Source organism: Homo sapiens, chromosome 6, assembly GCF_000001405.40.
Source record: "Homo sapiens chromosome 6, GRCh38.p14 Primary Assembly".
Classification (NCBI taxonomy): Eukaryota; Metazoa; Chordata; class Mammalia; order Primates; family Hominidae; genus Homo; species Homo sapiens.
Genome location: NC_000006.12, coordinates 123,483,843 through 123,510,358, shown reverse-complemented (window position 1 = coordinate 123,510,358; position 26,516 = coordinate 123,483,843). Strand labels below are relative to the sequence as shown.

General features: G+C 33.4%; 1 protein-coding gene across 5 annotated transcripts in view; it reads left to right on the top strand.

Moving 5' to 3' along the window:
- Nucleotides 1-26,516, top strand: part of TRDN (triadin) — a 420,612-nt gene that overhangs the window by 126,592 nt on the left and 267,504 nt on the right. For 2 of the 5 annotated variants that reach the window (NM_006073.4, NM_001251987.2), the window contains exons 8-9: nt 6,458-6,640; nt 13,107-13,166. In NM_006073.4, coding sequence (NP_006064.2) covers nt 6,458-6,640; nt 13,107-13,166 — 243 coding nt within the window. Of the gene's footprint in view, nt 1-6,457; nt 8,532-13,106; nt 13,167-26,516 lie in introns of those variants that run through there. The other 3 variants (NM_001407315.1, NM_001256020.2, NM_001256021.2) reach the window with 2 other exon arrangements.

The window sequence follows — 26,516 nt, the reverse complement described above, 5'->3', positions numbered from 1 at the left end:
GAAACTACCCATTTAGGTAAAACTCAGAAGCATTTTTAAGATTTAGTTTAGCTACTAAATGTAAAATAATGAGATATTTGAAGCAGATATATTTTCAATAAATCTTCCGTTAGATAACCAAATATCATTTTATTAAAGTTAATATGGATGAATTGTAAACTGAAACATTTTTAGAAGATAACATGAATTTACTTTCAAGATTAAATTAAAATAAATAAATGTAATTTTATTTTGTTTCTCCTGTTTCATAAATGCAAGTGAAAATAAATTTTGTATATATATAAAATTTGTTTTCATTACATATACATGAAATCATATGTGATAGATGTATGAAATCTAGTGGACATTTTAAAGATCATCTAAATTAATTACCTCGTTTAACAGATGAAGAAAGTGACCTCTAGAGAGAGAGAAAAACATTTTTGCCAGGTCATAAAACTGGTATATGATTTGGTTAAGACTAAAAACCCAGGTGCAGTCAGTATACATTGAGTATTCTTCACAAAAATAATTAAATACAGGTCTTCAAGCATCTTTTTTTTTTCAAAAAATTTGTTGAATACTGCATTAGTTACTTATTGCTTTGTAAAGCATTACCACAAAATCTGAGGCTTAAATCAATGCACATTTATTATCTCACAGTTTCTGTGGATCAAGAATCTGGGCATGGCTTAGCTCAGGCCTCTGTTTCACAATCTTACAAGGTGGCAAACAAAGTGTTAACTAGGACTTCAGTCTCATCTTTAGTTTCAACTGAGGAAGCACCATTTGCAAGTTCACTATATGGTTGTTGGTGAGATTCAGTTCCTCAAGGACTACTAGCCAATCAGTTCCTGGCTGGCTGTTGGCTATGGACCATCTTCAGTTCCTTGACACATGAGTCTCATCAACATGACAGCTGGCTTCATTAAACCTATTGAGAGAGAAACAGGAAGACAGAAATTACAATCTTATCTAGACTAATCATGGAAGTCATATTCAATCACCTTTAGTATACACTATGGGTTAGCTGCAAATTCCTAGGGCAACCCATATTGAAGGGAAGATGATTGCACAAGGATATGAATGCCACAAGTTGGGAGTCACTGGGAGCCATCTTGAGTCTGCTTGCCATAAATACTTTCCATTTAAATATTTACGTCATTCTTCTGGGGGAGGTGCACACACACACATACACATACACACACAAACATACATATATATGTGTGTATATATATGTATGCATAAGTATATATGTGCCTGTTTAAAACATATATATGTGTGTATATATGTATGCATATGTATATATGTGTCTGTTTAAAACATATATATGTATGTGTATATGTGTATACATGTTTGTATACAGTATATGCTTTTTATTTTTATTTTATATGTGTATGTATTATGTTATTATAAGAAATTAATAGAAAGTGTTCTTTATGTAATAGGTGGTTTCTGGTAAAACAAAATAAGATAAAAAGTCATAAGCCTTCTATGTGACATTAAAGATAGAAAATATCATAAAGTATCTTTGAAAGGTGTGACCAGTTAAAGTAGAATCTCCCTTTGAAGAGCTGTGATTTCTGGAGGCACTTGCATAGAACACAGCATGTTTCTTGCTCTGTTGCATACTGCTTGCTGAAAGGCAGCCATTGGTTAGAACACTTCAGGGATTCCTCCTGGGGAAGAGTAGACCTTTAATGTCTACCTTGATACATATGTAGGACCCCATATCCACTGAGAAATCTAGCCTATTTCTGTAGTTCATTAAAAACAACAGAGACAAGGTAGAAGAAAAAGAAGAAAACAATGATGAAAAGAGAAGTTGAGTGAGGTGAGCCAAGTTTGGGCCAGGCTGTCTAATTGATGTGGATGTCAGTGTGACCTTCAGATGTCTGTGTGTTTGATGATGTGGCAGAGGTTATTGCTGCCTTGGTCACTTTCAGGAAGACATTTTATCGCTTTCACATGGTTCATGTATATTTATATCTGCCCTTATATGTCTTAAAATACAGTTTTTGTATCATCTTTTTAGGTTAATATTAATACGTGTGCAATTCACTGTGATTAGAAATTGGGTTAGTCATTCTGATTCTACTCTTTCTACTCCTAACTCATTTAGTTGCACCATCTTTGATAAATGGCTTTTTGATACTTAGATTTTTCAAATGTAAAATAATAATGAAATAGTAATTCCTGCTGTACATTAAACTGTGGATAAGTTCTAGGGAAACTCCAAGAGCTCTAGACATGCAGATTATGCAGATATAATATTAGAAATGTTTACATACTTATTTTGCAGAATTCAAAGTTATTTTGCTCAGTGTTACTCATCTCCACAGCTTCCATAGAGGAAGAGGCAGTTACAGTGGCGATTCTTTTTTTTTAACGCAAAGAAACTGAAGCAGAGAAAAAAGTTAAGCAGTTTGCAGTTCTTTATGGAATGAGAGAGAAAATTTGTTATTTTCTAACTCCCAACATGTGTAGTATGTTTCTTGAGGGATACTATTCTATTTAATACTTTGGCATCAGACATTCTGAATCTGATGCAGTAGCTAATGGATCACGCTAATTCCAAGATTGAATCAAATATGCTGATGTCATTTTTTTTGATTAGGCCATTTTGTTTTCCATTTGACAAAAGTCATGAATAAAATGCCTTCCTAAATAAAACTGGGTGATTTGAATACCCATGGCAATACTTTTTGTTTTTTTCATTCCTTAATAAATTTCGTCACTTAAATTATTTTAGGGAAAAATCAGGAAAAATATTTTGGCACAAAATTGAAGAATGTGTACTCAAAAGTAAATAGAAGTTGGGTGTTGCTTTAGTTTCATGATATTTTCTTTATTATAGCCACATCATTGTTTAGTTGTCACTCATTTTTTTCTACTATGAGGCAAAGTTATCTATTTCCAGAGTGAATGTGATTGAAGAGTGTCTAAAATAGTAGAAAATATTTTATTATTTTTATACTTAAAGTCAATGATTATAATGAGTTGGCTATATATGTGGTTCTACCTCTTAGAAAATAATCATTGCCCACTTATAAATTATAATGGCATTAAAAAGAAATCTGAATTTCACACATCTATAGTTCCATACTATAAAGTTAAGGTTAAATCAACTGTAACTTACAAGGAGTAGATAGCTGTCATTTAGAGTAAGCAAATATAACAATTTCATACAAATTAGTATAAACAAAAAAAAAAGTTGGCAAGTTTAACAGGTTTAGACAAGTTTATTTCTAAACACATATTTACATAATGCAGTCTCTATATCACTATATTATACATATGATCTGAGTATAGTGGAATATTTACTCTCTCCATCAAAATTGCTAATCCAGTATACATTTATCCTCTGTTTTCTCTGAAAGAAGCATTGTGCTAGACACTATGGTGATACAAAAATAATAATAGAATTCCTGCCCCTAAGCACTGTCTGTCTGGTAGGGAAGACAGATAGATCAAACTATCTATATTTCAAGATATATAATAAAGAATAAAATGTATAATTTAATAAAAATTCAGAAAAATGGAAGCTCATGGGAAGACATTATTAATTCAAATGGGAGAGCCATTTTTTTGCATGTGAATTGACCATGAAGAAATTTAATCCCAGCACTTTGGGAGGCCGAGGCGGGTGGATCGCCTGAGGTCAGGAGTTCAAGACCAGCCTGGCCAACATGGTGAAACCCCATCTCTACTAAAAATACAAAAATTAGCTGATGTTGGTGGTGCACACCTGAAATCCCAGCTACTCGGGAGGCTGATGCAGGAGAATTGCTTGAACCCGGGAGGCAGAGGTTGCAGTGAGCCAAGATTGCACCATTGCACTCCAGCCTGGCAACAGAGCCAAGAGTCTATCTAAACAAAAAAACAAAAAGACAAAAATAAATAAAAAAGAAATAAAGAAATTTAAATATGTGGAAAAATATAGAAAATATAGAGAATGCAGTCTGACAACAGTTGACACATGGAAAAATACATAAAATATTCAAAAGAAAGAAAGCAGTCCAGTAGAGGAATAAATTTTTGGAAAAGTGCTGTAACATGGGAGATAGGAGGAAGCCAGATATTGCACGGTTTTAATTTTGCTGTGCTAAAATTTATTCAGGTAGTTTTATTATTATGCTGATTTTTAGAGCTCCAGCAACTAGCTGTGAGCCCAGGTCAACATAGACTCTCTAGAAGTGTTTTTTAGGTGAATGAGTTGCATGAGATTGAGGTGCTGTTGACCACTCCAGTGAAACTTTCTTTCCAGACAGACACTAATAAACATTCCAGTGTGGAATTCTGGAATGATTTCAATTTAAAGTCATCCGCAGAAAGCTGCTGGTTTCAGTCACAGAAACATATGAGTTTACTGCAGGAAAGAGCAGAAACCAGCAAAGGAGGTTTAGAAATGATTTATAGGAAGAAGAAAATCCCCTGAGTGTAGTTACAGAAGCCACAAAGATGTTGAAAGTTTATGGACATGTGAAACCCCATCTCTACTAACAATACAAAATTAACTGGGCTTGGTGATAGGCGCGTGTAATCCCAGCTACTTGGGAGGCTGAGGCAGGAGAATTCCTTGAAACTGAGAGGCAGAGGTTGCAGTGAGCCGAGATCGTGCCACTGCACTACAGCCTGGATGACAAAGCAAGACTTCATCTCAAAAAAAAAAAAAAGTTTATAGAGTAATTGAGTAATATTTGTATGAGAATTTTATGATTAAACAATATTGAATAATGTGTGTATCATAATTCCCCTTCTTAAAAATTCTCAATACACTTCAGCTTTGAGAAAGTCCAAGCTAAATGACCAGGTTAGCTTATTGTTGCCAAATGAATTTGGCCATGAGAATATTCTCCAATACCTAATACAGTATCAACATCTTCCTGTAAATATCTGAAGTATCTGAGAAACAGTGTTTTGGGAAGTGCTGGCGTAGTCAATTAAGTGCGATACCACAGATGATTTTTGGTTTGCAAGCTAACCAGCATCTGGCATTATCATTTTCATTCTCTCAATGGGACCTTCTGATATTATCTTGGCTTAGCCTGAAATCATCATTTAGGGTACCAAAGTCAAGAAACTTGATTACATTTTTTCATTAAATTCTTTTTTTTTTTTTTTTTTTTTTTTTTGAGACAGAGTTTTGCTCTTGTTGCCCAAGTTGTGGTGCAATGGCGCAATCTCGGCTCACTGCAACCTCCGCTTCCCTGGTTCAAATGATTCTCCTGCCTCAGCCTCCTGAGTAGCTGGGATTACAGGCATGCACCACCACGCCCAGCTAATTTTTGCATTTTTAGTAGAGATGGGGTTTCACCCTGTTAGCCAGGATGGTCTTGATCTGCTGACCTCATGACCCGCCCGCCTTGGTCTCCCAAAGTGCTGGGATTACAGGCATGAGCCGCCATGCCCGGCCTTCATCAAATTCTTTAACATGAGTGACAATAAAGGCTACACAGTGCATTAGCAAATGACATAGAGGATTCCAACATTGCAGTAGAGTTGCTGTGGTGTATAGTGGTTATGTGTAGTCACATACAAAAAGGAATGTCCAATATTCAGCATCTATTATGAACAATTTTCCACAAATTATGTGCTACATTATTACTGCTTTTTAAAAGATGCTTGAATGATCCACAGACTAGTTATTTGCATCACAGTTCCCTCTTCCAAAATACGGATAATATCAAATTAAGAATATATGTGTGTAATATATATATGTTCTAATTTATATATCTATTCATATATATTTTTATTTATAGCCCTTTGAATTTCCCATGATATGTTTAAGGGCTTTAAAAACTAGTAGAATTATCGCTGACTTAAGATAAACAGGAGCCAATATCTGAATTTCTTCACTTTCAGTTTTTCTAAGGCCAAATCATTAGACTATAGGTCTTTCAGTTATCTTCTAATGGATTTCATTGTTTTATTTCTGTTAGTCAACACCAATGCGATAATTTTACACTTGCATTACTAATTGTTGTCTTTAAAAAAGACTTTGTTGGCATTTCAGTTTCTTGAATGACCCTTAAGATCTTTCAGTTATCAAGCAAAATGATCATGTGCTTATAAAAGGAGACTACTTCACTGGGCTGTTTGGTATGGAAATTGTCTTTCACAGAAATTCCTGTACATCCATCCCCTGCATGCTACAAATGCCTCCTTGTTGACATGCTAAGTTACTATTGCCTTAAAAAATAGTGTTTTCATGTACAAATTAAAAGCCATAACACTTTTAGTAGTCTATCTAATATAGCACTTCATAAACTGTATAAAACTCTGGTAAGTCACAAGTGTTTATGTTAAGAACAGTATTTTTCATTGTTTTCCTGAAAAATACTGTTCTTAACATAAACACTTGTGACTTACCTTTCTTCCCTCTTTCTTTTCCAATTTTCCTTAATGACATAGTACAGATGAAACATTATGTTTGTAAATAAACAAAAGTATTTCAACATCTTTTAACTTTATACAGAACAGAAGAAAGCTAAGACTGCAGAAAAGAGTGAAGAAAAGACTAAAAAGGAAGTGAAAGGTGGAAAACAGGAGAAAGTGAAGCAAACAGCTGCAAAAGTAAAAGAAGTACAGAAAACACCATCAAAACCCAAAGAAAAGGAGGACAAAGAGAAAGCAGCTGTGTCAAAGCATGAACAGAAAGGTAAACATTCAGAGCAGGAGGCTGCCGGAGGTTCTAAGAGAATATTGGGCAAGAAGCACATGCAGTGAAATTAAAAGTTGAAAAAGACCAAAATCAGACTTCAAATGGGGGTAAAAGACATTAAAGTAAATATATCAGAAAAGAAATACAGTAAATTGGGAATTAATATTTATTTATAAAAATACTAAAATGTGTTCACAGATCTAAAGGGGCATTTTGAAGTATTTTTAAAAGGGGTTTGGAGGTAGCATCCGAAATCATATAAAGATTGGGGATAAATGTTGAATTTTTGAGATATGGAATGTCTATTAAGAGGTGGAATAAAGATTGTATGTGTCATACTCTTTGGAGGAAAGTGGTCCCCCAAAATGACAGCAATTCCTAAGGAGTTTGTGAAGGGGTACATGTTGGAATCATATAGAGTAAATATCATAAAAACTATCCATACATTACTGTTGCATTGGCAAGAGCACATCATTTAGAATATACATCCAATTATTAAATTTATTTAATAGGCAAGATGTTATAGAGAAGACAGTTCTCAAGTTTCTTTTTCAGTTTCCATTGACTAAATTTCTAACTTTAGAAAGCTCTGAATGTGACATATTTCGCCATTCTTCAGCAAGAGTGATGTCAAACTTACATCCCCACTTTGCAAAAATATATCACTTCAATGGAGGTGGCATATAAACCTGAATTTTTATTTTATGGAAGGTTGCTATGTGAATATACAGAGCTGAAGGTTTAGGAGGGCAACTAAGGGTCTTATCGTACCACATCTCTGGCCCTTATTGAATGTTTCTTTTCCTAAGTCCATTCCTGACTCCAGTTTGCTGTATAATCCTGAGACTCCTTTACAGAATACGGGGATCTAACATGTAGAGACTATTCCTGTAATTGGTGTTTCTTGGAGACATTGCAAAACCAAATTTTTCTTTACTTTGTAGCACTTTTGACTAATGTTATCTAAGGACTGTATCAAAGAATTGGTTTCTATTAGATTTTAGTTTAAGAAATCTTACAATTTTATTACAGAGCAGGCTATTTGGAGGATGAAACTGAAATTAATTTTTCCTCATAAGGCACAAGAAATGAAATTTGCAATGCACTCGTACTGTATTTTCATCTTTTTTCTCTTGAATTTGCATTTGTAAACTTTGATTCACATGTAGTATTTGTCAACTCTGATTTATATGACAAAAGATACATATTTTAAAAATATATATTTTAAAAAGGAAAGATTTTTTCTTTTTTTAGTGATCTACAAACCTTTAAATTTAGATAATTTTAATTTATTATTTTAAGATATAAGTCATATTAAAACTTAGGAGCTCTAAAACTTTTTCCAATTTTCAAGGTGATTATATCACCATGAAAAAAATTTAAAAGTTAATTATTACTTCCATCAAAATTATGTCATTAATGAAATATTTTGGTAGACAAAAAGGATGAAGTAAGTAAAGAGAAAATACGTTGAATATAATATTTTACTGTGGTAAAAAAACAGCAGAAATAATCTTTGGATTCACTGGTATGATTACTTAGATCCTGAAATCCTTTACACTTTAGATTGCTGTTCAAAAAGAAAAATAATCACATGAAATCAGTGAAAACCTACAAAGTACATTCTAATTTTTAACCATAAATACAGAGTGTAAAAATTGATGCCAGTTATATTTGGAAATGTCAAAATACTTATCTAACAACTAGGAATGTGAATGTATTTTTTGATGTTAATTTTTCATATCTTTGGGGATTTGGGAGCCACATTTTATTGATAAAAACTCATCACCGGAACACTTTAAAATAATGTTTATTTTCCAGGCCACAAATATTGTATTTCATTTCTATCAGTAATCAGATTTATTAAAGACAGCATTATATTACCATATCCCTTTTCAGTCTACTATTTTTATTTCTACACAAAGAGTTATTTATCTATTAAAAGGACATTCAAATATCATTTAGAGTTTAAAACAAAAGCACAAATGTGATTTTATCAGCTAAACAATTGCAATTGCTAAAGCAAGTCTCAGTATTGAGAACAATTGCCATCAATTATATAAATGTATCATTAGGTAAGTATTCAAAACTTAACCTCTAATGGCAGATCAGACATATAAATATGTCATTTTATTTTTCATTTTTTGTTACTAAGCAAAGATTTAATTAAGAGCATTTTTAAATTAAAGAAAACTAATTACATTATGATTTTAGCTAAGCAAGATAAAGATATAGTTTTTTTTAATTTCTGAGGCTTTGGTTTTGAAAATTTTATATGATGACTTAGTTGAGTTAGCTCAACTAAGCTAACTGTTGAGTTAGCTTTTTGGGCAAGAGAATACTCATTCACATAGTTAAGTTAGACCTAATATGTTTGAGGCATTCTTTTCATATAGATTTCTAAATACTTCTTTTTAAAGAAATAAGGCTCATAGGTCCTTTACTCACTTGGAAACAGATTTTCACATGGGACACATATTTATTAGTAATTATTTAATTACATAGTATACATATGAATATATTCAATGTAGTTACTCTCAATATTGTATATGGAAATAATACATCTCTTTTTCTGCTTAAAGCATTAGGGATAAGATGCATATGTATATACACACCTACCATAAACACACACACACACACAGACACACACACACACCCATCAAATAATCTAGTTTTTATGAACCCATCTAAATCTGTTTGTAGAGTAGGAAGAGTTGGCATAGTCAGACATTGCTCCCTAGTTTTCTGATGACCTCTAGGAGGTCTGTGGGGAAGGAGAAACGAATTTTCCAGCTGCCACACACTTTGCTCCTTCACTCATTCTTTCTTTTAAAACAACTATTTGATATTTGTGGCAGGCAGAGAAAGTATAGCTAATGTGAATCTGTTATAGAGTACTGGACCACATGTGCCCCATCCTCATTACAGGTTTCTTAAAAATTTTTTGTTGTTCTTGACATTCTGCACCCAGAATGTATTTTCCCTTTGTTACTATTCCACAGGGAACACCAACTAGGTATCATTTGAATGACATCTATCACTGCTTCCTGAGAATCAAGAAGGAGAGAAATGGACAGCATGTGTTATTCCAAGAAGGATGTTTATTTGGGGAAAAAGTACTTACAATGATGAGCAAATTAACATTATATAAATTATTATCTCAGAACTATGAAAGTTAGAATGGCAGGACAATTTAGATTTTCTTTGTGAAAAATTTTCTGCTATAATATTTAAGTTGGGTTTAAAGAAACATTTTTAGAACACAAATCTTTCAAAATCAGGAAGGCTTGGTTTTTCTGTATTCTTAGATAGGTTAAGCAGATAAACTGGAGACTTCCCAACACATACCTACCTAGAATTCTTATACGTTGTTAAGGTCATTGCCAAGGACAGGTGGAAATGGGCATCCTAACTTAAAATATTTGAAAATTCCTATCAGCTTTGATAGGAATAAAAACATCTTTCTCATATTCCTATTGATATATTGGTGCCATTAGAATACAAGATCACAGCACTATTTACATATAACAAAACCTTCTAAGTGTTGTAACAAATAATTTTCTAAGTTAAAAAACATCCTCTGAATTCATAAGAAATTTCCTTTTTGCAATTAGAAGTTCATTGGGCTGTTGGTGTATTAATTAAATGAATGATTTTTGGATCTAGGAAATATAAGAAATATAAGTAAGGTACAGTTGTCCCACAGTATCTGTGGGGGATAGGTTTCAGGATTCCCTGCAGGTACCAAAATCCACAGATGTTCAAGTCTTTTATATAAAAGGGACTAATATTTGCATATAACCTATACACATCCTCTTGTATACATTAAATCATCTCTAGATTACCAATACTACCTAATGTATTTAATAAATGCTTTGTAAATACTGGTTATACTGTATTGTTTAGTAAATAATGATAAGGAAAAAAAGTCTGTATATGTTCAGTACAGACCCAACCATGGTAGCTGTAACTATATATATATATATATATATATATTTTTTTTTTTTTTTTTGAGCCAGAATCTCACTATGTTGCCCAGGCTGGAGTGCAGTGGCACAATCTCAGCTCACTGCAACCTCTGCCTCCCGGGTTCAAGCAGTTCTCCTGCCTCAGCCTCCGGAGTAGCTGGGATTACAGGTGCCCTCCACCATGCCCAGCTAATTTTTGTAGTTTTAGTAGAGATGGGGTTTCACTATGCTGGCTAGGCTGGCCTTGAACTCCTGACCTCAAATGATCCTCCCGCCTCAGCCTCCGAAAGTTCTGGGATTACAGGCGTGTGGTTTGTTGAATGCTCCAATGTGGAACCCAGGGAAATGGAGGGCTGACTGTACTTTGATAATATTTCAACATACAAGCTGAAAAGTTTCATTACATTGTCAGCATTCAGCTAAAGAAGACTCTCTGAAGCGTGAAGATTTTAATTAATTCAGTACACTCTTCAACATGTTATGTATATAACTATCCCATCACAACATGGGGCAGATAATATTTCATTTGGAGGGGATGTTATATTAAAAATACTCCCTGCATTCTAAACTTCCAACATACATAAAAACAAACACTCTTATTTGCTGTCATGGGAGTCTATAGTGCCTCTAAGAGTAATTATTTTGGGAAAAAGGAATGAAAGGTTTTAGATCAGTGATTCTGTAAATGCAGTCTAATTAGATTCATCTAAGGAGTTTGTATAAAATGCATATTCCTAGGGTCCAGATCCATGGCATTTTAATTTTTTTTGGATGATGGAGCCCAAAAATCTGTATTTTGACAACTCCTCTCTCTTTCTCGTGTTTAAGTTGCCCTTTGAGAACTACTCCTAGAGTATAGGCAGAACAAATCTAAAAAGAGTACAGTCACTTAAGGTACTGAAATAAAGGGAACATACTGCCGATTTCAGAAAGTCCACACTGGTCTGACTTCAAACTTTTCATTTAAGGGAAATGTACTTTTTCATCTTGCTTTGTCTTAGAGTCAAATTGCCAGTTCTACAGTTTTGTTCAGGAAAACAATCTCATGTCTAGAAAAGAGAAAATACCTTCTACCTTAACCTTATGTCTTTCCCAATCATAGGGTTCCCAGGTCCTGGGATCAGAAACTCCAGCTATTACTGCCAGTACATCAAAGGGCAAATCAATGCATGGAATGACCTGAGGACTAGCCTCCTTCCCATTCCCTACCTCTCCTGTGGGAAAATGTGCTCCAATTTCAACAACTAAAATACATCTAAATTTTTGGAACTTTATGAGTTTTGGCCTGCCCTTATTTAGGTATTAATGAAAAAGATTATATTTTTATATCTTCTTCAATAACTATATTTATTTTTTAAAGACCTAACAGAATTTCATAATAAAATGGATTCCTCTAAAAATGCTGTTACTACTCTAAAAAGAACGAGATTTACAAAAATCCTTAGAGGTGTATCTGTTTAGTAACAAGCTTTGTTATTTCATATGTTTGATATGCATAATTTGGAGCAATTAAGAATGTAACATGTTGCTTAAATTCAATAAACTCTCTTGGTCCTAAAGCTGCCTTCGGATTTGGTGGATTAATAAAATGCATATTTCAGGAATATTGAAATGTAAATTATTTCATAATATGTATGCTTTAAAGCAGATACGGTAAAGATTCATCAATTGAGCTTTGAGTTGGATTGACCTCAGGAGAATCTAAAGTTCTGTGAGGATTTAAAGTTAAGTGCAATGTCTTTAATCTAGAGGGAATAGAAAAAAAACCAACTCCTGAAGACCAGGTCTGCCCAAAATGATGTTTACATACTATGTTTTTTTTGTTTGTTTGTTTACTTTCACCATAGGCCATAAACTAGTCAAGATCATAAGATGATCTTAAGAAGATTACTCATTTGATTAGTTTAACAACAATATCATTTGGTTCTGTTACTCTGTTCTTGATTTACTCTCCCAATTAAAGAGCATTTTTATTCAGAGGCCACCTAACAGGTTGCAAAGAGGTTAGTTCTCCTGATAGTCTTTTGGAAAAGACATTCTGCTGCTCCATAGAGACAATTAGCAGAAGGGCTGGAACTGAGTATTTGATAAAACACTCCAAGTTGGAAACAATTTCCTCTTGTGAAACTTCTGTTTCATTATTGAAAGTTTATAAAATGACAAATGGGAAAAATTGCTTTAATATGATGACTTTTGTAATCAATTATTTGACAAAATAGGTTTTTATTTTGAAAACAACCACTATAAGATTACCCTGAACTAGTCCTTTTCAATTTTTGAGGTTATTTTTGTATGGAAGAAATGAAGCATTATATTTGTCGTCTTTCTTTCCTTCTGTATTTTCATATAAGTGCAAATTATTTTTTTTACAGAAAATATTGTAGTAACCAAAATAGAATTGTGCTATTTTGTTTGCTTTGTTAAATTATTTCTCTGTAGAAAAATGAAGTGTTGATGACATTTTTTCATTGCTCTTTTTCTTTCTACTCTGTCAGATCAGTATGCATTCTGTCGATATATGATTGACATATTTGTCCATGGGGATTTAAAACCAGGTATTCCAAGCAATTCTTGTACTTGTCTGTTTTAATAGTCTTTGTTTCTAAGATTGTGGGCTTTTTATGTACCTAACTGTATTTTCATTTTTTAAAAATTGCATAATGCATGTGTAGATCTAGAATAAAACCAATAAAAAGCGGTAATAACTGGCATTAAGGTCTTAATTTTACTTTCAGTCACTGCATGGCCTATTGCAAATGAAGTCAGTTGAAATGTAAAATATGTGCTAATATCTCTCCATATAAGGAATGCTAAAATCTTTAATAATGTCTTGAAGTGAAGCAGTGAATCATCTTATTTTATTCTTGGTAAACTTAGAAGAAAAGACCCACGACAATGAAAATATCTTTCTTTTCTTAGTAGTGAACACAATTCATATTAAAATCATCACATTTCAAATATTTATACTTTGTTTTCCAAAACTTTAAAATTTTCTCCCTTATACATGAACTTGGTTTAGCCACTCCAAAGAACTATTGATGGAGATAGATAATCTTGGAATTAATATTCAAAACAATGGGGAAGGATTTTGAGTTAAAGGAATATATCTACCTTGTCTTGTATCTTTAATTGTTGCCCAGAGTATAAAAAGGTATTTTTTACTAACATCTGAACTAAGCATGAGTAACTTGATTGCTTGTACTATGCCTTTTGCAGATTTAAAAACTGACAGAACTATGTTCATGTTTGGGAAAACTTTTCCAAGAAGACAGTATTGTTAAGGAAGGAGCTCATTTATATTAGAATAAATGAAGCTAATTGCTTAAAGACAGCTATATTTTTATTTTCTTAACTATTTTTGTGAAAGCCTTTCAAAAATATATAATTATAATTTATGTGTATGTCATCAAAGAGACATCTCATTTCTAAAACAAATAGGTAACACATCTAGGCTCTAGAAAACTAGACAATGAGAACCTTTGCACTCCGGAAAATGTTGTTGATCCCAGTAATTTATTCTAGTTAAATAATTTCCTCCTCCTCCCCTTTTCCTTCTTCTACATTTTCAGTAAGAAATTTAAATGAGGGGGAAAGTCACTAAATATATATTATAATTTATAAATATATATTATATATAATAATTATATATATTATATATTAATATATTATATTAATATTAATAATATTAATGATATATATTATTAATAATATATTAATAATATCGATGTTTGTGTATAGTATCATAGCATAATTGGAAATAAACCTTCAGGAAGGTAGTGTGATATGGTGGAAAGACAAGGCTTTGGACAGAAATACAGTGATAATTCTTAACTCCATCCTTTTCTAGTATTAGGTCTTGAGCAAATAATTGAACTCTACCTCATTTTTAGTGTTCTTACATTTAAAATAAAGATCACAGTCACAACCTTGCATTGTTGACAAATCATCTAGTGACTACAAACAAAATGTTATAACTTTAATTTGTTCATTTCACCACTGCCTGCCTGGTGAGTTCCCTACATGAAGAGAACCTCTCAACACTTACAAGTTTCAGTCTATATATATCAAAAATTCAATGTTAGGGCTGGGTGTGGTGGCTTATACCTGTCATCACAGCACTTTAGGAAGCTGAGGCAGGAGGATCACTTCAGCCCAGGAGTTTGAGACCAGCCTGGGCAACATATGGAGACCACATCTGTACAAATTTTTTATTTTTTTTATTTTTTTTGAGACAGAGCCTCACTCTCGTCACTCAGGCTGGAGTGCAATGGTGTGATCTCGGCTCACTGCAACCTCTGCCTCCTGGGTTCAAGCGATTCTCCTGCCTCAGCCTCCTGAGTAGCTGGGATTACAGGCCCCTGCCAACATACTCGGCTAATTTTTGTATTTTTAGTAGAGACGGGGTTTCACCATGTTAGCCAGGCTGGTCTCAAACTCCTGACCTTAGGTTATCTGCCCGACTCGGCCTCCCAAGGTGCTGGGATTACAGGCATGAGCCACTGCAACTGGCAAAAAAAATTATAAAAATTATCTGGGCATGGCGGTATGCACCCATTGTCCCAGCTACTTGGTAGGGTGAGGTGGGAGGACTGCTTGGGCCCAGGAGGTTGGGGCTGCAGGGGTGTGTGAGCTATGATGGCACTATCACATTCCATTCTGGGCTACAGGGTGAGACCCTGTCTCAAAATAAATAAATAATTTAAAAGTTCAATCTGGCCGGGCCAGGTGGGTCATGCCTATAATGCAAGCATTTTGGGAGGCTGAGGCGGGCGGATCACCTGAGGTCAGGAGTTTGAGACCAGCCTGGCCAACATGGTGAAACCCCGTCTCTACTAAAAATACAAAAATTAGCCAGGTTTGGTGGTGGGTGCCTGTAATCCCAGCCACTTGGGAGGCTGAGGCAGGAGAATTGCTTGAACCTGGGAGAGAGAATTTGCAGTGAGCCGAGATCTCGCCACTGTACTCCAGCCTGGGCCACAGAGCAAGACTCCATCTCAAAAAAACAAAAAGTTCAATTTTAGGTCAAAGGAGTGCTAACCATTTGTTCACCTGTGTTGGTTCAAGAAATTCATACTCTACACATAATTTTTGTAAAGTCAACTAGGTGTTTACTTACATATGAGATGAGACGAATCTATGTTGTTGATGAGCATGAATTAATAAATGACTAACATGCATTATTTTCTTCATATTCTATTAGTTTTAAAATTTCTTTACTTGAAGAAAATTATCTGTTTTCTGTCCCACTGAAATCATTCATAGTAGTTATTTGTTGATCATAAAATATAATTCCTAAGAAAGTCTCAAGACACAGAGAACCATGCACTAAGAAATTCAGCGAGGGATGCTAGTAGTTTAATAGTCGCAATACCAATCATTTCTTTCTGAAAAATCTAACAACAGAGTAAGGTTAGAAGGAATAATAAAATCATCTATGCATGAATTAAAGATGATTTTGTTAACGACCGCACAGAGAGAGCCCTTCTAAAGGCATATGCAAACATACTCTAAAAAGTCCTAAGTTCAGACCTACAACATTATAGAGTATTCCAACCCCTGAAGATAATTCCTAGTTCTATAGGATTAGATTTCTTTGTACCATTAATTGACTTACTAATTGAATTCTTAATTTATTTCATCTACCTACATTCATTATTTTGAAGGTTTAAGAAATGAAAGAAATACTTGAAAAGCGAGTATTTCTTGTCCAGGAGTTGAAAAGGAAGAAGGGAGAGAAGGAAAGCCTATGTAATATGCCTGTTGTTTCATTTAATAAACTATATGATGTTATGTAAATGTACCTAAACAAAATTCAGGAATATTATCTTTGTCAGTGTGGCAATACAAAACATGGAGTGAGAAAGCATTAAATATGACTTGCATTTTTGAAAATAAGGAATGAGAAACACAGATTTAATCTGGGCATATTAATTTAGAGACAATGTAAGTGGTGAGACATTGACTCTGACTGGCAATTATAGAATAAGACAATTCTTGCCAAGTTTATTGCTCTGCATGTATCCACTACTTATAAAACATTTGCGCTTCCATCTGTTTCTGTTTGGGATTAGTGTAACACCTGTATTGTTTAGCTAGAGTTCACTATTAATTATTGGTAATGAGTTTTTAAAACTATAATTTGATTTTTCCCTCTGGGATTCAGTTTTTCCTTTGTACTGTCACACCCTCAAAAGTAACCCAAATTGCAGTTCTAATTTGAAAACGCTTGCTGATGAAATGTGCTGACACTATGACATAAGTCCCAAGTTTTGCCTTTTATCCCATCAAATAAAATGCTTCTAAGATATTCTTAAAATTTTTAGCTAAGATTTCGTCTATAAACCTGAAGATTAATTGAATTGCTCTTTCTGATTTTCTGTTGTGAATGGTGAATATGCACTATCCTAGGGTCAGGGATAATCCTCACTTCAATTATAGGGACCATCTTAATAAACCAGTATAAATTATAAAGATCTGCTCATTTGGTTGTATTGAATCAAAATTCTCTTGTACTGACTTACTCTATATTAAGTTGAAACATGAAGAAAATTATATTTAAATCTAGGAAGTGAATGCATGCTATCAACACTGGTCCTATGGGCAACTGGCATAGACCTGTATGTACATTTTGTAATTTTAGGTATATTATGAACACCGAAGATCTCCCCTCTCCAGAGATACTTTCTCCATTTAATGAACTAACATCTTCATATTGAGATCTTTGGTTGTGCCGATGGTCAGCGTTATACAGGATGTGTTTTAATAACTCATAACCTGCCTTAGGGAAGACAGAGAGAGGAGAGTCGGGGAGAGATTGAGACAGAAAGAAAGAGATTGATTCGTCTTATGGTAGCTGTCTTGAAACTGATTAACCTCCACTTTTTTTCCTAGGGCTTAAAGTAGTCTACTTGTCACTTACTCATAAGAGAACTATTAAAACTGGTCAAGACAGACATTATTTGCAACATCAAAACACAATTTATGGGTTTTTTTCTTTTTCTTTTTTTGGAAATTGATAGTACGGATGGTCAAGGTATATTCCGCCAGATTTATTTATCTTTATCAACCTTCCAGTAATTCCAATTTCCTTTTCAATTTTGTGTGGCTTAGCACATTTTTCTTAAGTGACAGCTATACTGATAATTTTATTCATTTAGGTAGACTATTTTTAAGAAAACACATCAGGATCTTGCTTGGCATTTTCATATTCCTTCTTCACCAACTTCTATCTGGGCTTAATAAATTGCATGGGTTTCTGGGCAGAGTCACCCAAGTTAAAGAGACAAATTTCTGTAAGGAAGAAATCACATGGTTCACAGACCTCTTTATATTCACTAAAGATAAAGAAACCAATTTAAATGTCCACTACAAGTACCAGGGCTAGTGTGCTTGTGCTTAGTAATTTTAATAATTTTTTTTAGCTTTCATCTCTGTAACTATTATGATTAAAGTTTAATACAAGTTAAAGTTTATCCCTTAGAAGTTATTCCACTATTAAAATTTCAGCTACTGTCTGACTTTTACTTGAGCCAAGAATTATGTCACGGTAATTTATTCTGCTTTTTGTGTCATTTGTTTTCTTTAAATTGAGGGTACTCACCTATCAGAATCTTCTCTGATTGTAATAAGGCATTCTTTGGCAGCCTGCATTCCAATTCAATGGGTTTTAAGTCCATAGCTAGAAAGAGCCTCAAGGAATAAGTTAGTACTCTCATTTTATTAAGATCCTTTTCTTGAACTTTAGTGGTGCTTAACTATATTTTTGGTTAAATCTCGCTGAGAAGAGGTCAAATGTAATTGCATTATAGTCACTGTTATTTAATGGTTTAATGTATTTCAGAGCTCACTGCTTGTATTAGACAAGACTAGGTACCATTTAGCTTTGCTTTAGACTTCTGAAAAAAATCCTGCTCCAAGGTAGGCATAGTTCCATAAAAACATATTCACTCTAATTCCAATCATTTAATTATTTTCACACAACAAAAGTTTCGGGAATTTTAATGTTTATTCAGTAAGTAGTTGTTGAATCCTCTCAGCAAGCTGGTGGTCCAGAAAAGAGGTAAGCTAAGACATAAATAATTGTATTAAAAAGGATAACTTGATAAGTATACAATGAAGACATAGAAAATATACATTCTAATCTCAGTATACCAGGAATGAGTAATTTTCTCTATCAACCTCTTGGAGTTTTAATTATTAAAAAAAATTATTTAGTTTTTCTAATAGTTTACAGGAGTAGAAATAAAGGGAAAGTGAAAGTTTTGATAAGAATTTAAATATAGTAAAACAAAATGTTTCTATCTTATATTCCCTGTTTTCAAAGATGTATATACTTCAAATGGGAAATATCTTCAGAAAGAAACAAACAGCTCATCAGTTATCATCTATGAGCCTTCAGTGTATTCATCTTGCAGATACCAATTTCAAATTTTGAATATATCTTTAATAAGTTCTATTATATATTATCACTTCTGGTTTTTCTAGAATGTGCATCATCAAAATGTAGTACTTTAATTTTTATAAACCTTGATGGTCCATAATTTTGTTGAAAAGAAAATGTCATCTTCATTTCATAATAAAACATTTCCTTCCTTCCTTCCTTCCTTCCTTCCTTCTTTCGTTCCTTCTTTATTTTTTTTTTTTGAGATGTAGTCTCACTCTGTCGCCAGGCTGGAGTGCAGTGGTGCCATCTCGGCTCACTGCAACCTCTGCCTCCCGGGTTCAAGCAATTCTCCTGCCTCAGCCTTGCGAGTAGCTGGGACTACAGGTGCACGCCACCGTGCCCATCTAATTTTTTTTCTATTTTTAGTAGAGACGGGATTTCACCATGTTGGCCAGGATGGCCTTGATCTCTTGACCTCGTGATCCGCCCACCTCGGCCTCTCAAAGTGCTGGGATTACAGGCGTGAGCCACTGTGCCTGGGCAGGTTTTCATTTTTGTATTTACAAACATAGATTACAATAATGCATTCAATTATTTTTAAATTCACATTGTCCATTTCTTTTGGATGCCTGCCTTTCTCTTTCTTTAGCATTTGTGCAGTTAGAAACCACAGATTTTGGCACATGAATTTTATAAAGAAAGAGTACTGTGACATGCTCTTTTAGCAAAATGAAATGGTTCAGGTTCTTGTCACAAAATATAACAGGATAAATTCCTTCCTGTTAAAGGGCTAACTAGATGAGAATACAGTCGTGTCCTCTTATCCATGATTTTGCTATTTGCAGTTTCAGTAACCCACAGTCAACCACAGTCTGAAAATATCAAATGGAAAATTCCTGAAATAAACAACTCACAAGTTTTAAATTGGACACCATTCTGAGTAGCATGTCATGTTATCACGCTCTATTCCACCAAGTATGTGAATCATCCCTTTGTCCGATGTATCCACGCTCTCTAAGCTACCTGTCTGTGAGACACTTATTAGGTATCTCGGTTTTCAGATCAAGAAAACACAGCATACATAGAATTCAGCATTATTCATTGTTTCAGGTATCTACTGGATATCTTGGAATACATTTTTTATGGATAAGAGGGAACTACTATAGTATATTTCCTTTTTTCTCTTTGAAATGCATTGTTCACTCATTGATTCTATAGTTTAAGAAAATTCATTGTCTTATGAAGACTCATAGTCTGAGATTTCACTTGTATAATCAATTTCAATTTTACCCTAATCATTAGAGTCTAGCTTACTGCTCTCTGTCTTTCTGCATTCATCTTCTGATTCATTTAATAATTTTGAAATATCTTCCTCTGTCACTTTTCTTCTATTTGAAGTTATGGATGGAAAAAATAATTCTGAATTATAAACTGTGTTCAGTGAAACAAAGTAGGCTGTAAAAATGGTGTCTCAAAAAAAAAAAGATGTCTCCAGGCTTCTTTTATATCTTCTTGAATGATGATGTAATACTTCAGTCAACACTATAAACAATCATAGTGATGATGGGGCAATAATGATATATTTTACAGTTGCATCATCTTTCTAGGCAATTTCATTATTCTGCTTCTTCATTGTTTTAGTTTTAAGCATTGTTAGGAACGATTGATGAGTAATGATGAAACAGTTCCTATGTTGATGAAATAGAAAATGCTTAATATAAGAAAAAAAAGATCATGAAGTTTCCATAAAGTGCCTTACATGTTTAAAATTGTCCAATGCTGTCACATGGTAATTACAAGATATAATGGGTTTTGTTCTGTTTAAGAAATAGGTAAATTTCCTTTTGTTTCTTGGAAGACCTATAAGAAAACAAATAAGTCAAGAAATATTAATTTTTATAAACAGAACTGCTTAACAAAAGAAACTAAAAAAACTCTGATTGACTCCAGTGGACCCTGATAGTGTAATGAGAACCAATGGGAAAAATATAAACTCGGTGGTCACGCAAGCCAAGATTTAAATCCTTCACTTGTGTTTTTTGTTTTTTTGAATCTCAGTTTATTTATAAGATTTATTACTTAAGATTGTTTAAATGATTAAAAGATATATATGTACATGTTCTCCCAAATCCCTTTTTTGCTTTCTCTTTTATTATGAATATTTATTGCAAAAAAAATAGTACTCGTAGTGTGAAAGACCAAAGAAGATGGTATGGAAGACATAACAATTGAAATAGACCTTGAGATATTGGTAGGATATGTCTGTGTGAAATTTAGAATAAAAATATACAAGGCTAAGGTGATAATATTAAAGCACAGAATCACAAAATGTTAAGTGATTTCTGTGAGTACCAGTTGCTAAATATTTACTCTCCACCAGGCTATGGAAATCTTATATAATCCTAATACAAACTTAAAAGGAGTATATTATCATCCATGTTTTACAGATGAAAGAATTGAGACACAAAGAGCTTAAGTGGTTTGCCAAGGTGGCACAAAGCAGCAGACAGGAGATTCAAATCCAAGACTGCCGAATTCCACAGTCTTCAGTATTATCTTTATACCAAATCTATCTGTTTCCCAGACATAGATAGGGAATTGCAAATGAGGTCACTTTGGTTAGTACTCAGGAAATCTAGAAAAAAAAAAAAAAAACAAGATTGGAAATGTTGTACAAGATCGTTTGGAGAGAATGAAATTAAAAAGATCAACAAGGAAAAGTCCAACGAAAGGAAATAAAGCCTGATCATAGAATATGTGATGGAGAAAATTAAGATACTTTTAGAGCTATCACAGAGATAGAGTCATGGGATTTATAGATATCAAAAGATAGGAAAGTAAAAGATTATTTAGAAGCTGTTGGTCTGTAAAAACTAAAAGGATACCTTAAGAAGGGAGTATAGGAATACAGTGGGGTCAATGCTCACTGGACTGGACAGGGCCGGGAGAAGTGGGAGACTTTGAACTCACCACATATTATTCAAGCCACAGATGGTATCTAGCTGCAAAAGGGAAGTATGTGAAGATTCTAGTCCAAATATCATTTGTTTAGCATCTGCCAAATACCAAGGGTCATTACCATTTTTTTGCATACTTATCTCATTAATTCTCACAGCAAACTGTGACATCTATATAGTGCAATGATAATTCACAGCACTTCTAACTGAAGTAAGCAGCTAGATAATCAAGTGTGGAGTTTTGGAGAAAGGTCAGAGGTGAAGAAGGGGTCACTAGGACAGTGAGTAAAATAAGTTAGAGTATAAATATTAAATATCTTCTGCATGCTCAGCAGTCCCAGGCTCAGCATAGTAGAGGATATAAGAATACTAAAAGGTGATCCCTGACTGGAGCAAGTGAAATGAGTAATTATTTAAAAGAGAAAAAATAAATAGTAGAATAAGTTTAGACTTAGGCATTAGATTGTATAATACGAACTCTAAATGTTTTAAGATTCAGAGGAGAAACATCTGTGATTCCTGCTGTCAAAAAAGATGGAGTGGATCTAGAACTTGAAAGATGGATAATATTTGACTAAGTGCTGAGAAATATATTGGGATTGCTTTGTTTGTATGTGAATGAAGGAGAAAATGAATGCGAACATTATAGTGCATGTGAAATTGATGTGTTTATAAGACAATGAGGATATCAGACTGAAAAGAGGATAAACTAAAATTGGCAAACATCAGACAATAATACGTTGTATATGTTTTGATGACAGATTATAGAACACTTGGTCAATCAGAAAGAGGTGATATTTGGCATAAAGGGAAGTCTTTGAAGGACTTTAAGCAGAACAATGAAGGAAAGCAGCATTTCATGAAGCATGATGGGTAGTAGTCTGTTTATGGGATCGGAAATGAGAAAAAAATTGTAGAATATGGCCAAAACTGGTGTGTCTAAAGCATAGAATTGAAGGAAGGAAGGGTAAACTTTAGGAAGCCATTATTCATGGGTGGTGATGAGCACTATGTGTGACTTAAGAAATTAATGTTGCAACTCAAAATTCTACAAAGTATCCTGACAATTTTATTTCACATATGTGGTGGATACTTAAATGAGATCTAGACTTAAAGGAGGACCAACAGTGACATGTGCATGACTATCCACTAAAAATATAATGCAGTAAGGAAGCTGCTAGAACTTGACCTGTTTATAACCTGAAATGGAGCAATATATCTTTCTTTCCTCCTTTGGCTGAGTCCTTTTTTTTTGTATTTCTGGTCAAAGTGCATTTACAGCACATGGCTCTCTGAGTGTTGGCTCTTATTTACTGCTTGAGCACATATATAATGACTATTACAAGTAGAATTTTGATAATGACAGAAAAATATTTTTTCAGAACCACATCAACAAATAACATACCAGACTCATTTTGCCCATAGTAGCCATCTGATGTCTCCTAGCCTTTGTTCTACTATCTACTGCATAACATGGGTAATAATATTACATAATTTGTAGTGTTATGAGGATCATATGGACAAATTCTGTAGTCCCTGCAGAATTTAGGCAAATGTGGTTTGTCTTCTGAATTCTAGGAACAGTACTAGTAAGTTCCTAGTAGATGTAGATATAGCAATAAACAAAATATGTATGGTACCTGCCCTCATGAAGCCAAGGTAGAATTTATGTAGAACTTATTGCTAGCCATCAAGCATACACAAACATCCAGAAAAAAATTATTATTATTAAAGTAGAGGAATGATTAATATGATTAATGCCTATAGTTGTAGATCTGCTTATATTTTTGATAAGGTTATGTAATTGGCCCTATTAAATATGATAAAAATAAAATGCTCTATTTGGTTTATACAAACTTGAAATGTGATTCTGTGAGACAGAACATTATGCCAAGTGCTTCAGGTAATGTTTACAACATTAACTCTTTTAGTTGAAGGATCAACGGGAATACAATAAAAGTGTCTTATTATAATTGAATTAAAATTATCAGCTAAACGGCAACTTCTATAGTATAATGAATTTATTGAATAAGACTGCAAAAATAGATTGGCATCTTTACACAGAGGAGATATTCTAGATCTCCAAATTGAGGGAAAATACCCGATAAGCCTATCATCAATCTTACTATTCAACAGTGGTTAAAAAAAAAAAAAGAAGTTACACCAAGAGAACCCAAAACCCAAGATGTTATAAGACGTTTAGATATACAACATTTTTCTAAGAGTAAAATCTTTCAGAAAATATGTTTGGATCCATTTCATTTACCGTAATTTAAGTCATCTTATGCCTCTGTTGGAACTGCACTTGTATGCCCTTTAAATTTAATAATGGAAGATTTTGACTATTTATTAGACTCACTACAGTCTGGAAAAATGGAGCTTCTTCTTAATTTGCTATGAATGAAAGCCCAGGTCCTTGGGTTCCTCAGTTACCTGATAACAAAACCACTAGTGATACAACATTCACAGAATGAGCTGCACAAGGATTTCAGGAGCAAATAAAAGAGAAAATGGTTGAAGCCATGGAATGAATAGGAGAGAAAAAAATTAAATAGAATAATTAGTGTCATAAAAAGAATTAATTATATAAGAAAAACTTCAAATGAACATGGGCAAGTTACTTAACTTTCTGAGCCTCTTTCCTCATCTATAAAATGAGATAACTTTATAGGGTTAATGTATATTTTAAGCAATGAGCATATACATACACATAAAACCCTCTTGACTATAATAACCATAATAAGCATTATTTAAGTGTTTGGTGTGGATGGTGGTTCCCATATATAGCAGAATTGTGATTTTCTACCCATTTCTAATAGCTTTCTGATTTAATATTCACGTAGCATTATTATTCTCTCCCTAGAACATCTTTTTCTGCTGCTTATATATACCTTCAATAAATATTTGTCTTTAAATCTCCACTGCCTCATACCTTGCCAGAAACCTGATATGTTTGTTGAATTAAGTTCAGGGTGTAGAATATTTATTTCAATGAAAAAAAATTTGATGATCATCCCAGAGCAGCAATTTTTATTCATTTGTAGAAATAATCTTGTTATTTTAAAAGATGACAGATTTCTAAACATTGCAAATAGACCTGTGTAAAGATTTCTTAAAGGAGTTATTGGTTATATCTCTAGAGACAGAAGCTCAGAATTAACAAAGACAGGTTTGCTGCATGCATGAGTAGACTGCAGGCAGCATACAGAATTAGGCTACAATGAGAGAAGAAATGAGAGCGAGCCTAGGCTTAATTATGGAAGCACACAGTTCCTGGACTTGCCATACCCTCATGAGAGTTGCTTTCTGATTATATGAAGTCTATGGAAGCTATTCAAGATAAATGTATCAGATTGTCATATTTGTCAAAATCAATCCATTAAACATTCTAGTCACTGTAAGTAACTGGAATACACACAGAAATAGATCCATGTACTTCTGAGTGGAGGTTTCCTCTGAAGCTGTTACCACTCTCTCAGTCAGTTTCATTGTGATAAAATGCTTCAGGTTTTTGGAGAAGGCTAGTGAATAAGACTACTTTGCCCTTAATACAGTGTTCATATTACTTTACATCCTCTATGTCCAGAAAAGAAAACAAAATGAAGGCTTAAGCTTTTTCATTTTTCTTACAATTTTAGAATTTTGTCTCCTAGTCTTGCGAAAGAGGAGGCAGGTTCTGTAGGTATATCTTTGCTTTGAGAGAACTTTCCTTAAAGTGGCTTTTTTGGTCTAGCTTTGTCACTATTAATGGCATGGACTTGCTGTCAGACAAGAATAAATTCCTTCTCAGGTAACCCACTGGGACTATTAAAAGCATGTTCTAATATAGTCTGAAAAGGAAGAAATAATACAGAGTAATTTGAATTGCTGCATGAGAAACAAGGAAAATTAAGGTTTAATCAAAGAATTATTGAAATAATTATGTGTTATTTATTAATGCACCATGTATTTTAATAATCTTATCTGTTAGTTTATATGCACAAGTGAAGATTGAAAAAGAACTCTAGAAAATTACATGAATATATTCTTCCAGTGCTGTTCTAAGGTTTATTTGTGTGGCCTAGTGGATACAAAATAGAGAATAGGACTCTTTCTAACCATTTCCATAAATGCATAGTTCTTACCCCTTTTCTTAAGCGGACATATTTTTAAATATGGAAATAATAAATATGCCCATACCTAAAATTTTGATATAAATAATTGGCTATTTTCAGAGAGAGCTATTTGATAAACAATATCTCTTTTCTATAGCTTTTTTTTTCTGCAGAGGATGCTTTTGTATTTGCAAAAGATGAAGACAAAAATGAATTTTGCAATATTAACATTAACGTTACTGATTGTAGCATTGATGATTATACTGATTGTACTGATTATAGACTATTCAACCCGTTGCTCAACAGTTTTTAGTCAATTCTATGACTTTTATTCTAGCTTAGTATATCTCATATTTTGGTTTCTAAAGTATCATACATTAAGACATAATAATACTGTTATTCTTGCATAGCACTAATAATTGTTCCACAATTGAAAGACAGTATATTTTTCTGTTTACATCTTCATCAACA